The following is a 12,866-nucleotide window of genomic DNA, read 5'->3' as shown; positions in this document are numbered from 1 at the left end:
ATAGGAGTAAATTTATGAAGAGAAGTGTAAGACTTATATTCTGAAAATTACAAAACATTGTTGAAATAAATTTAAAAGGACCTGAATAAATGGAAAGAGATCCTACATCCATGGACTGGAAGACTTCACATAGTTCAGATGGCAGTACTCCTCAAATTGAGCTACAGAGTCACAGCAGTCCCTTTCAAAATCCCAAAGCAACAAGCCAATTCTAAAATCCCTGTGGAAATGCAAGGGACCAAGAATAGTCAGAACAGTTTTGAAAAGTCAGAGAACAAAGTTGGAGGGCTCACACTTCCCAATTTACAAAAATGTATAAATCTACAGTATTCAAGAAACAGTGTGGTGCGGGCATAAGGATAGACATGGAAAAATGAGATAGAGTCAAGAAAACAAAACTAAACCCCTACATTTATGGTCAGTTGACTTTGGACAAGGATGCTAAGCCAGTTCAATGGGGGAAAGAAAAATCTTTTCAACAAGTGACGCTGGGACAACTGGATATCTGCTTGCAGAAGCATGAATTTGGATCTCTGCCTCATGCCACATATAAAACTTAACTCCAGATGGATCAGAGACCTAAATGTAAGAGCTAAATCTGTAAAGCTTTTTTAATTAAAAAAACGTTTAAAAAAATTAGTCATAATAAGTGATGTAAAACTCTTAAAACATAGCATAAGTCTTTGTCACCTTGGATTAGGCAGTGTTTTCCTAGATATGACACCAAAACAATCAACAAAAGAAAAAAGTGGGTAAATTGAACTTCATAAAAATTAAGAACTTTTGTGCTTCAGAGGATGTTATCAAGAAAGTAAAAAGACAACTCAGAATGGAAGAAAATAGTTTCAAATCATATATCTGATAAAGATACCTTGAATACATAAAGAACTCTTGGGTGGGTGCATTGGCTCACATCTGTAATCCCATTACTTTGGAGGATCACTTGAGGCCAAGAGTTTGAGACCAGCCTGAGCAACATGAGACCCTGTCTCTACCAAAAAAATTGAAAGAATTAAAAAAAAAAAAAAAAAAGAACTCTTAAAATTCAATAATAAAGGCCGGACACAGTGGCTCACTCCTGTAATCCCAGCACTTTGGGAGGCAGAGGCGGGCAGATCACCTGAGGTCAAGAGTTCGAGACCAGCCTGGCCAACATGGTGAAACCCTGTCTCTACTAAAAATACAAAAATTAGCTGGGCGTGTTGGCCCATGCCTGTAATCCCAGCTACTCAGGAGGCTGAGGCAGGAGAATCGCTTGAACCCAGGAGTCAGAGGTTGCAGTGAGCCGAGAATGCGCCACTGCACTCCAGCCTGGGTGACAGAGTGACAGAGTGAGACTCTGTCTCAAACAAAACAAAACAAAACAAAAACCCCAAACTCAGCAATAAGAAGACACACCAGTTTAAAAAATGAGCAAAGGATCTAAACCGACGTTTCTTCAAAGATAGTATACAAATGGCCAATAAGCACATGAAAAGATACCCAATATCACTAGTCATTAGGGAAACACGAATCAAAATCACAATGAGATATCACTTCCCACCCACTAAGATGGTTACAATAAAAAAGACAACATGTGTTGGTGAGGATATGGGAAATTGGAACTGTCACACACTGCTGGTGGGAATGTCAAATGATGCACCTGCTTTGGAAAGCACTCTGGCTGAATGTTGGAAACTCCTGACTTTGGAAGTTTCTCATTATGACCCAGCAGTTCTACTCCTAGGTATCTACTCAAAAGAAATGAAAACATCTGTCCATACAAAGGCTTGTACACAAATGGTAATAGCAGCACTATTAATAGCGGAAAAGTGGCAAACAACCCAAATGTCCAGTCACTTGGTAATGGGCAAACAAATTGTGGTATATTCATACAGTGGAATATTACTTAGCAACAAAAAGGAGTGAAATACACATGCTGCAACGTGGACGAACCTTGAACCTTGAAGACATTCTGGAAAAAGTGAAGGAAGCCAATCACCAGAGCCACATGTTATGATCCCATTTATCTGAAATGTCCAGCATAGGCAAATCCATAGAGACAGAAAGTAGATTAGTGATTGCCAGGATTGGGAGTAGAGGAGGTGGGGGATGACTGGGGAAGGGTGTGGGGTTTCTTTTTGGGGTGATGAAAATGTTCTAAAATGATTGTCATGATGTGGCACAACTCTGTGAACACACTAAAAATCATTGTGTACATTTTAGATGGGTGAACTGTGTGAATTATTATCTTAATAAAACTGTTAGAAAAATAGCAAGAATCTCAAGTACTTCACCCATCATCCCTCCCACAGCCTCTCCTGGCTAAATAATCCCATCCCTTTGGCTATTCTTGACAGACACATTTGGGTCTTTTCCATTTGTATACCCAGAATTTTATTCTTTTTGAGCCTCCTAAATTGTGACTTCCGGGATTAAACACAAAGTCCCAAGGTAGGGGAGGAGGTGGTGGCGGTGGCAGGGGCTTCACCAGCTTGAAGAGAAGCAGCTGGGTATAGGGAAACCCAGGACCTGGGGTGGCCCCTCTCCAGCATGCTAGTGAGGGCTCTGTGCCCTGTCCCAGGGCGGGGCTCATATTCTGGTGGCACTGCTTCTGGTGTAACTGGCTGACCTTGGAGACTGGGCTTCTTTCCCCCTCCCTTTCCATGAATGTAAAAGGAGGAGTGGATTGAGGAGGAAGTTTGAGAGCTACCTGGTGTAATCCGTATTCCTGTTGACAGGAACAGTGTTACTCATTCAGCAAACACATGCTGACCCCCTGCTTTGCACAGCGTCTGAGATTCAGAGATGAAGACAGTATAAGGTCACGATCTAATGACTCACTCTGCACTACATTTCTTTCCTTCTATTGTATAAAATAGAAAAATCTATTTTTGGTGTAAAATGACATCCTAATTACTGAGTAGTTAAGGAGTTTGAGTTTTTAAGCCCGTGCATGCTTTCCACTTGGTTTTACTGTTTGTTCTGTAAGGCGCTGTGTAGGAATAGTACTAGGTAACATCTGTGGAGCTGATAGCAAGCATTGTCCCGCTCCTGCCTACAGCCTTCGGAGGAGCTTCCCTGCAGCAGGCTGCTGGATGCAGGGGGCCGGGGGAATAATTCCATTTTAGAAACCCAGTAATTGTGTCTGGTGCTAGGTAGAATTTTCCTTCATTCAGTAGTTTATTGAAGGCCGGGTAGACGCCGATTGCCACTAACATGCAGTCTCTAGAAGTCAGGGACTTTATCTTGCACGCTGCCATCTCCTGTTCCTGGAACATCGCAGGTGCTCAAGATGTGTTAATTAGCGAAGAAGCAAATGACTAGAGGATGCAGTGATAATGACCTTTCGTTCACCCTGAGAACTAGGCTGGCCAGGGAGTGTCTCTCCCTCTTGTAGGTAAGGAAACAGGCTGGCAGGAAGTGACTGCATAGAGTTAGGCAGACTGTAAAAGCCAGAGCGGGCACAAGAATCCAGGTCTCCTGACTCCATCCTTCCATTGTGTGTTCTAGTCCCACCCAACTTTGAAAGCAAAAGTTGTTATATATTTCTGTTAAAAACGTTGCCCTGTGGGAGTGCTTCCCATTCCCTCTGTGGGGTTGGCTCCACTGGAATGGGGAGGGGAGGAGCTGTGGAGTTGCATCGTTCTGGTTCAGTTAGGCCTGCTCTAACTGCGTCACTTCCAATCATTCTTCTTTCAAATCTTTAGACTCTTGTACATCTTCTTACACTACTGTTTGAATTCTCATGTTAATATCAAATTTGAAAAAGTGTCATTTTTGTCCTTTTTAAAGTAAGTTTTTCTGTTTTAAACCTCTGGAACATCAACTGAGTATTTAGGTTGGGGAAGTGTTCAGCCTCCATCTCCACATTCCCAGGGTGCTTGCCAACCAGAGGCTAAAAAAATATTGCTGTAAAAATCAGTCCAAGGCAAGTCTGGATCTGTCAGCTGATGTGTTCCCATTGCATAAGATAAACGAGTTTTGGGGACACATCTAATTACACGCTGTTAGCTCCAGCTCTTCATTAAGTTGCATAGGTGAGCTAAGAGCTGATGGGCTGCGCTGGGACGGGTGACCTTGGGGCCTGTCCTACCTTTGCTGCTGATTCTGATAGCCCAGGTGGTTGTCAGCTGGAGCAAGCGGTCTGAATGCCACCAGGATGGCTGGTCATCAGCTTGTTTCCTTTGACCTATAAAGATGTTGGGGAAAACATGGTTATTTTAAGGGTTACTATATGAATCTGCATATAGGATTTTTAAAAAATACAAATTTGTCACAGACAGCATTTTTACCTTCTCCACCTCGGGATCCAGCACAAACAGCACCTCCTCTCTTCCCTTCCCTTGTCGTCTTCTCTTGTTACTTGAGCACTTGCTTTGGGTTAGATAAAAAGGGTGAAGCCCTTCCCTCGTGGAGCTCCAGGTGGAGTGGGAGAAAGGCTCTTCACCAGCCAGGCACGGGTAGCACACACCGGAATGCCACTGTGCCAGGCTGTCGAGAGGGAGATGGTGCAACCTAAATGGTCCTGCGGAACATGCAGTTGGCCTGTGCAGAGGCATTCTTCATGTTTGGACAGCCTCTGCTTGCTGTGGTCCTTGGCACACAGCACACACCTGGTGAGCTCTTCCCATAGAAAAAGATTCCCTACCTGCTTCTGAGCCACTGCTGCTGTGACTGACCTTCCTTTCCTCTAAGGTCATGGGAAAGGGAGAAGGTCAGGCTTCTTTCTGACGCCTCCTGTGTGTTCCAGAGGGGAGGATTCCTTATGCAGTTTCTGCATCAGGGGCTTCCCTTTCTTCTTCAGGCCAATTTTAAGAATAAGATTAATTGGCATATCTTTCTGTGGGATCTTCAGAACCGTGTGTGTTTTCATCCTCGGGTTTTAGGAATTCACTGCCTAGCATTCTCTATTCATACCTTCTGCTGCTTCGCGAGCCCAGGAAACAACTTGGAAACTGGATCTCCAGTGGAGAGAGTGATTGATTTCAAAAGACCTTCCCCAAACTTACCTCAAGTGATTGCTTGGTTTGTTTCAAAAAGATTTTAAATTTTGCTCGACTTAAATGGCAGTCGTTTTTAGGGCTGTCATCTAGAATCTAGTATTTAACATGATGATTTTGTTTTACTCTGTACAACTGTGGGTAGAGGGCAGGGAGCAAGTTAGCTGGGAAAAATCAACCAGGCAGGCGCAGGTGAGACTTCTACCGCTGTCATTCCAGAGTTCTCCAGTGGGAGATTGAAGCCTTCTGGAGATGGGGGTCCAGACTGCTCGAGCCAGGAGAAGGGTCCCCCTGCGGGGCTCCATGTCTGTGTGACTGGTCTTCAGATCGTGTGACCCCCTAGGGATGCTGGACTTTGCTGTTCTCGGAGCTGCATGGGTGCCATGGAAAGGGCTGGGAGCCAGTGTCCCTGCTCCTCACCCACAGTGGGGCCTTGGTTGAGTCTGAGGGAGAGCCGAGTTAGGGGAAGTGCAGGATTTGTGGCCAGGCAAGGGGTGTGGTAAGTGAAAGCACCTCGTATGCTGACTCACATGCCTGACTGCTTGCACAGGGCTCCTTGAGAATGAGGCCGTGTGGAGATTCAGTGTGTGGTAGTCACTGCACACAACCTTGGTGATCGAGCCGGGACATCTAGGCAGGGGCTCAGAGGTGGACTTTGGTGGTGGGGCTAGAAGTTGAACAAAGAGGTCATTTTGTTTTGTCTTCGGTGCCCGTTTAAGCTCATGCATCGTTATTTCTACTGCCGCCTGCCTGGGCTCACCCACAGCCATCTCACCAGGAACTGCTGCCACACCTGTCTTTCTGTGCCTCAGACATGCCAGGTGGGCCTCTCTTGCCTTTTGCTGGGGCTGCCTGTGCTCTGGGGGCCCATATGGCTTACTTCTTCCCATGTTGTCTCAGGTGTCACCTTCTTTGGGGACCTTCTCTGGTCACTCTGTTTAGAAGCAGTCTCCTTTCTGTCTCCTCCCTATCTCATCCTCGCTTATTTCTCTGCATAGCACCTGCTGGGTCAGTCACCTGTGCCAGAACACAGACCCATGAGGGCAGGAGTTTTGGTCTGTTCTCTCCGCTGTTAGATTCCCAGCATTCAGAACACCGTGTGGCTGCACAGGCACCCAATATACAGGTGTTGAAAGAATGGAAAGTAGGCATTGGTGGGTAGATTACTAATGCATTCGCAATGGGTGTAAATAGGTATTTGCTAATTTAATTTACTGCCCCTGCCCCCCCCCCTTTTTTTGAGGCAGAGTCTTGCTGTGTTGCCCAGGCTGGAGTGCTATGGCATGATCTCGGCTCACTGCAACCTCCGTCTCGCGGGTTCAGGTGATTCTCTTGCCTCAGCCTCCTGAGTAGCTGGAATTGCAGATGTGTGCTGCCACACCTGGCTAATTTTTGTATTTTTAGTGGAGATGGGGTTTCACCATGTTGGCCAGGCTGGTCTTGAACCCCTCATCTTAGGTGATCCACCCAGTTGGACCTTCCAAAGTGCTGGGATTACAGGCATGAGCCACCATGCCCAGCCATAACCCCATCTTTATTTCTGCTTTGATATATGTAAAAGTCTTTTTTCTTTTTTTGCTTTGATACAAAATGCATACTACATATTTTCACTTAAACCAGTCCATCCTTTGCCTTTGCCTATGCTTCATGTCCCCTTAGAATGTTTGAGTCTTCATAGGACTTAAAGATCATCTGCTCCATGAACAAGGGAACTGAAGGTCAGAGGGGAGGAGTCTTGTGCTAAGTCCGGGGTCATTCTGCTCCATCTCCTTCCACTGATACTGGAGCCAGGGAAGGGAACCAACATGGATTGTTTGCCAGATGAGAGACAGGTATTTCCCCGCATGATCTAAGTGAATCCTCAGAAGTCACAGGGTGTGCATTGTCATCCCTGTTTCATGAGTGGAATTCTGTAGGATTTTTTTTTTTTTTTTTGAGACGGAGTCTCGCTCTGCCGCCCAGGCTGGAGTGCAGTGGCGCAATCTTGGCTCACTGCAAGCTCCGCCTCCCGGGTTCACGCCATTCTCCTGCCTCTGCCTCCTGAGTAGCTGGGACTACAGGCACCCGCCACCATGTTCGGCTAATTTTTTGTATTTTTTTTAGTAGAGACGGGGTTTCACCGTGTTAGCCAGGATGGTCTCGATCTCCTGACCTTGTGATTCACCCACCTCGGCCTCCCAAAGTGCTGGGATTACAGGCGTGAGCCACCGTGCCCTGCTGGAATTCTGTAGTTTTCAACAGGAAGAATGAAGTGATAGAATGTACCTGGGTAACGTGGCCAGTAAGACTTGATGGCTAGGTCATCTCTCAGGGGTGCCATGGAGCCCCTGGGATGCCTGGGACTCTCTGAGCTCTCCAGGTCTCATGCTGTCTGAGGGTGCTGCTTGTGGGGCCACCTGTGTTCCCTCGGGACCAGTGTGTTTCAGTGTCTGGCCCGTGAACCTGTTCTCAAGTTGCCCTTGTCTCTGTGGAAACACTTTTTCCTCGAAGCCAGTATTTGGGATTTTGGTAACAAGCCAAATTGAAATCTCAGTGATTATAGGACTTGATGAATAATTTGTGTTGCAAAAGATTGAAAAATCATCCCTCACGAAGTCCATTTTAAGTGTTGCCTAAGTACAGTTACTTCATTGAAACTGCTCACCAGCTGGTGGCAAAGCTTATGTGGAAACAAGTTTTTTGGTGCTCTGACCCTAGACAAGACCATGAGTCTGGAGCCATGTCCACAGTAGGTCTCCGCACATGTGGAAGAGGGGCAGTCTGTGCAGGAGAGCCTTCTTCCCCCCACCCCGCCCCATGGGAAAAGGAGAGAAATGGTGAGTTAGGTCAGGGGAAAGGGAAACAGGGAGGAGGCAGGTCCTCGATAATCAGGAATATGGCGCAGACACTGCTGGACTCTGAGGTTTCCTAAAAAATTCATGCCCTGGGCTGGGCACGGTGGCTCACGCCTATAATCCCAGCACTTTGGGAGGCCGAGACGGGCAGATCATGAGGTCAGGAGATCGAGACCATCCTGGCTAAAACAGTGAAACCCCGACTCTACTGAAAATAAAAAAAAAAAAAAAAAATTAGCCGGGCGCGGTGGCGGGCACCTGTAGTCCTAGCTACTCAGGAGGCTGAGGCAGGAGAATGGCGTGAACCTGGGAGGTGGAGCTTGCAGTGAGCCGAGATTGCGCCACTGCACTCCAGCCTGGGCGATAAAGCGAAACTCTGTCTCAAAAAAAAAGAAAAAGAAAAAGGAAGAAAGAAAAGAAAAGAAAGAGAAAAGAAAGAAAAGAAATCCATGCCCTGGCTCCATTTTTTCTTTCAGTGACCCTCACTGAGGAGCTGTGGGTACCGTGATAGGCACTAGGGAAGGCAGGTGACTCGAGTATGGTCTGATCTACCAGGGTTAACAACTTGGTTGGGGAAAGAGGAATGGGGGCCAAATAATGGCACCATAGAGGAACTATAACGGGACAGTGGTGGGCAAAGGGTCACTAGAACGGTGGGGGGCTTCTTGGAGGAGATGACACTCAAACTGGGCCTTGCAAGGTAGGTGGGAGTTGACCAGCAAGGCGGCAGTCTCAGGTGGCAGTGTGCTGCACGTGTGGCTATCAGGGCCAGCCCATGAGGGGCAAGGCTGCTGGGCAGGCTGGGAAGCCAGAGTGGGGAGGCCCCAGGAGGTGTTCTGTGTGCAGCTGCCACATTGAAAGGTGTGCAAGTGTAGTTGGAGGATGTGCAGCTGAGGCAGGGCCCAAAGGAGGGGGAGTACACAGAAGCCAAGAAGGGAAAAGAAGGGAAAAGGCGATCTGCACACACACAGTGCCTTGAAGGTCTTGCGTTTCCCGTAGAAATTGTGCTGTAGCTCTTTACCAGATTGACTGGTATTTGGGCACACAGTTGAGCATACTCTGGGCCTCGGTTATATGTTTTGAATTTAGTATGGTTTTTATTCAAAGCCTCAGTGCTCTCTGCACGTTTCCATACTCCCATCTCAACTCTAAAACATATAAGTTGTTATTCAGATCAACTTGCTGGTAAAATTAGAGAAAATTTCAAAGCTCCTTTTTACTCTCTTTGTCTCACATTTCTCCAATGGGGAAAAAGCCTGGAAGACAAGTGTGTTAAAGAACTGGCTGTTCTTGTAAGTATTTGAGGAGAACAGTGTGAGTCATTGTAGCTTTTCACTGGTATTTGAGTATCCGGTTTATTTTTAAACAGTTCTGTGAACTGGAGTTTCTTCCATAGTTTCTGTTACCATGGCGCCATAATATTTCCTCGTCTGCTTGTTCATACTTTCACACACTTCAGCATCACATTTACAATTCCTTACAATCAGAATATCTTATTCATAACTTCCAAGAATGTTTCTCCAGCTGCAATAGCATTTTTCTCCAAATGGGAAAAGTCCGTTGTTCTGCCACTTGCAGATGCTGGGAAGAAAGAGGGTCTGGTTCTGTGAAGGACGGTGCAGGGTGCGGGGGCTGTGAGGGCCCCGTTGGGGTTTGAGTGGGTGGACCTATGTCATCTGTGTGGAGCCACTTCCCCTTTAGGCGCCACGGTTGAGAGTATAGGACGGACAGGCTGCTGCTTTTGCTTGGGAGGAGTTGGTGTTATACATTTTGGTCTAGACATCTAACAGACCACCCTTGGTTCTTTGGTCCCCTCAAACATGAACATGGGTGTGTTCTGTTGCTCTTATTTATTTTGTCATTTATTTTTGGACTTGAATTGAGGCTTCCACTTTGGGCAGGTCTCTTGTTTTGAGAATCTGCAGTCCAGAGAAAAACAATGCTGGGCTTGGCAGTCACTGGTGAAGTCGGCTTTGCCCGCCCTCCAGGCATGCAGGATTATTCAGAGAGGTACCTTTCTACATCTCATTGCTTTGAGAAATATATATTTCTTAAAGAGTTGTTCAGGATTTAAGGAAAGTTGGGGAGGTATATGGAACCATAGAGATAGTTTGTTTCCAATTTCTTAAAGTCTTAGACCTCAACTTTTCAGGGATAACAAGGTTTTCCTCTGACACATAAAGATAATAATAGACTAGGTTCTGAATATGTGCTTTGGACTTAATTATGGGAACTTGGCTTTGCCAGGTGTTTTCAAATTCTACTGTAAATATAAATGCTGATTCAATGATACAGCAACTCTTGATACTTGAGAATTTAAAGTGCTGCGTAACTGATTGGACATTTCGTCTCCTAACACAGTTGGTTCCTCTGATTCAGAGAGGACCCCTTTTTGAAGATCAAAAGCAAAATAAAAGTGTGGAAAGTGTGGACTTCTAGTGGCATGTGGACAGGGGGGTGTCCTGGGGGCTGCCCAGGAGGCTCCAGGTGGGAAGTGCTTCTGACTTAGTGGCTCTACAAGCTGGCCATTGTGGAAGAATTGGCTTTTTCCTTTTTTTTTTTTTTAGAATTGACTTTGTAAGAATCATCAAAAAATTGTTTTGCTCTCAGCTCAATAAACATTTGTAGTTAATAATCCGAGTAACTAATCTTTTTTCTCTCCTGTGTAATCCAAGATATGTCAGTATATGGTCTTCGTGAGTAAAATTGATACCAATAGTACATTATCCTAAAGGTCTTATTTGATATCCTTTTATCAAGTCAACACTTTACTGTCCCACCATTTCACTTGTAAAGATCCCCAAGTGTGTCGCTGTCAGTTTCAACAAATGTTAGAAAGGACCTGTTGTCATATGTGAGATACGCTTCTGGAATTCACTGTCTAGAGGGGAAAGCAGACTGTACACAGGTAAAAACTGAGGTAGTGGTATGTGCTTTGAGGAAATATAAAAAGAGTTAGAAGGTAACAGGCTAGAGTTGGTGGTGGTGGGAGGTGTGGCTAGATTCTCTAAGGGATGCCCCAAATGGTGTGAGGGGGAGCCGGCCATACGCTTGTCTCAGGGAAGAACATTCCTGGCAGAGGGAACAGCATGTGCAAAGGCTCTGAGGCAGGGATGAGCTTATTATGTTGAAGAAACAGAGAGAAGATCCTGTGCTGGGACAGAGAAGGGCCAGCAGGTAAGGGAGAGTAGTTGGGGAATGGGTGGAAGGGCAGGCAGGGGCCGGGTCATGACGGGATTTGCAGTACAGCGGAGGAGTTAGGGTTGAAGTGATGTGATGGTTTAGAGAAGGGAAGTGACATGATTTGAGTATTTACAAATATTGCCCTGAAGAGGCTAGAAACTGGAAGTGAGGATAGGTTTTCTGTTCTCTTTAACGTTGAGTTTCCATGGGAAAACATTAAACGTTTTCATTTTAGCTTTGAAAATTTAGGGTTATTAATACCACCTGTGTTCCTTACAATTGGGGGTTTTGTGACATTTTCTGGGCTGTTTTGGAAGAGAGGGATTGTGTAAGTGAATATACCCTGGTTGTTAACCATAATAATAACAACGTGATCTCTGCATGGCTCTGTTAAATTAAAAAATGTAACTATTAATAGTGTGTGAAATAGTTCTCAGCCTAGCCAGCAGCTGGAAGATTACACATTATGAGAAACTCATCAAGTTTAAACCACATGGGGATTTCTGTGTAGAAATATACCAGTTCCTCCTTCCTTCCTCGCTGTTCCTGTTTCAGGGCAGCCATCGGCTTTGTGGAGCCCTCTGAACCCTGGCTGGTTCCATTGACGCTGACTGTGTTCCTCCACTACCTTCCCATCACCTAAGGTCTCTTCTGTCTCGGACACCTCCTGCCTCTCCCACTCTGCACCTGCCCCATTCCCATCCAAGGTTCACCTTGGTGTCGCTGGCTTGGAAGCCATTTCCTCACTTCCCTGGGTGGAAAGCAGCTACTTCAGTCCTCCAACAATCCCAAGGAGTGGTAGGCAGTGTTAGTTTTGTTTTCTGGATGAGGAAACTAAGGTTCAGGAAGGTTAAGTAACGTGCCCCTGGTTACCCAGCTGGTTTGCAGCAAGGCTGGGATTCATTCATTGCTGCTTCTCACATATCATTGCCTCGTGTAAGCCAGGTGCTGTGCCCAGCCGTGGGATACAACTGTGAACAAGGCAGGTGTGAGTTAGGTGTCTGCCTCCCTCAACACCTTGAGCTGTTTGAGCAGGCAGGCGTCTGGAATAGGCATGCAGTGAACACTGAGCGAATGAATGAGTGAATGAAAGAATTCCTGTCAACATTCTACTCTTGTTGGACTCGGGTTGGCATGCTGCCTCCCTTAGCATCCAGCCTGTCACTCTTCAGAGTCACGCACACGTGACTCACCTCTGCCTTTCCTTGGTGTCTTTTGTTGCCTGTGTCTCATGCAGGAGGCAGCACAGCCTGGTGGCTCAGGGAGGCTCTGGAGCACCTGGTCTGGGTTTGAATCCAAGCTCTGCCCCTTACTAGTTGTGTGACTTGGGCACGTTATTTAAACACTCTTATGCCTCTGTTTCTTCATCTATAAATTTACTTTTGAACTTGAACTGTCAAAAACTTTCATTTTTTAATTCTTAAACTTTCCCACTGACCCAAACCAGATTGAGAAATTGGATAACCAAAACCATGGAGGTATTTTTGCTTTTTATGAGCGTGCCTTTTGTTATTTCAAAATGACCTACTTTCATACTTCCAAATGCATTTTAGAAACATTTTGATTAATTTAAAAGACAATCATTTTCAAAATTAGTTTATTGAATAACTTTTTCCCTTGTTTATGTGGTGTGAACGTGGGTATCCATGTACTTCTTGGGTCAGGATTGAGTGGGTGCCTCATCTGTGCTAGGCTCTGCGTGAGACACGAGGACAGGAGGGTCCAGAGAAGGTCTGAGAGCTGAGACAAAGGTGCTGAGTGTGTCCAGGGCCCAAACCCAGAGGTCCTGGTGCTGCTGCATGTTGTGGCTGTGGAATTGGGGCAGAGAGCACAGGTAGCAGGAAAGTGTGTGAGTTAGGCTGCATGT

The 12,866-nt window shown here is 45.9% G+C and overlaps 1 protein-coding gene and 1 long non-coding RNA gene across 11 annotated transcripts in view, besides 6 other annotated features; one reads left to right on the top strand and one right to left on the bottom strand.

Annotated features, from left to right (window-relative positions):
* Window positions 1-12,866, top strand: part of PACSIN2 (protein kinase C and casein kinase substrate in neurons 2) — a 145,384-nt gene that overhangs the window by 72,017 nt on the left and 60,501 nt on the right. The gene's annotated exons all lie outside the window — the stretch shown is intronic.
* Window positions 996-1,222: a silencer, noted in NCBI's record as "fragment chr22:43337917-43338143 (GRCh37/hg19 assembly coordinates)". NCBI's record gives its function as "represses an EF-1alpha promoter that drives an FKBP-Casp9 reporter gene in an ReSE screen in K562 erythroleukemia cells {active_cell/tissue: K562}" and the evidence as "EXISTENCE:reporter gene assay evidence [ECO:0000049][PMID:32094911]".
* Window positions 2,616-2,910: an enhancer, noted in NCBI's record as "tiled region #5708; HepG2 Activating DNase unmatched - State 5:Enh". NCBI's record gives its function as "activates a minimal TATA promoter and a strong SV40 promoter by Sharpr-MPRA in HepG2 cells {active_cell/tissue: HepG2}" and the evidence as "EXISTENCE:reporter gene assay evidence [ECO:0000049][PMID:27701403]".
* On the bottom strand, window positions 3,144-5,427 carry LOC124905128 (uncharacterized). Its single transcript, XR_007068119.1, has 2 exons — window positions 4,275-5,427; window positions 3,144-4,171 (listed from the first exon to the last, which is right to left on the bottom strand). It is a non-coding gene; the product is annotated as an uncharacterized LOC124905128 (long non-coding RNA).
* Window positions 3,243-3,743: an enhancer, noted in NCBI's record as "H3K27ac hESC enhancer chr22:43335396-43335896 (GRCh37/hg19 assembly coordinates)". NCBI's record gives its function as "activates a minimal SCP1, AML or CMV promoter by ChIP-STARR-seq in naive H9 embryonic stem cells {active_cell/tissue: H9 hESC(naive)}" and the evidence as "EXISTENCE:reporter gene assay evidence [ECO:0000049][PMID:30033119]".
* Window positions 8,084-8,599: an enhancer, noted in NCBI's record as "H3K4me1 hESC enhancer chr22:43330540-43331055 (GRCh37/hg19 assembly coordinates)". NCBI's record gives its function as "activates a minimal SCP1, AML or CMV promoter by ChIP-STARR-seq in primed H9 embryonic stem cells {active_cell/tissue: H9 hESC(primed)}" and the evidence as "EXISTENCE:reporter gene assay evidence [ECO:0000049][PMID:30033119]".
* Window positions 8,600-9,116: an enhancer, noted in NCBI's record as "H3K4me1 hESC enhancer chr22:43330023-43330539 (GRCh37/hg19 assembly coordinates)". NCBI's record gives its function as "activates a minimal SCP1, AML or CMV promoter by ChIP-STARR-seq in primed H9 embryonic stem cells {active_cell/tissue: H9 hESC(primed)}" and the evidence as "EXISTENCE:reporter gene assay evidence [ECO:0000049][PMID:30033119]".
* Window positions 12,247-12,326: a silencer, noted in NCBI's record as "silent region_13845". NCBI's record gives its function as "represses an Ori minimal core promoter by ATAC-STARR-seq in GM12878 lymphoblastoid cells {active_cell/tissue: GM12878}" and the evidence as "EXISTENCE:reporter gene assay evidence [ECO:0000049][PMID:35858748]".

Source organism: Homo sapiens, chromosome 22, assembly GCF_000001405.40.
Source record: "Homo sapiens chromosome 22, GRCh38.p14 Primary Assembly".
Classification (NCBI taxonomy): Eukaryota; Metazoa; Chordata; class Mammalia; order Primates; family Hominidae; genus Homo; species Homo sapiens.
Note: the sequence above shows the minus strand (reverse complement) of the source record. Positions and strands in the feature narration are given on the sequence as shown.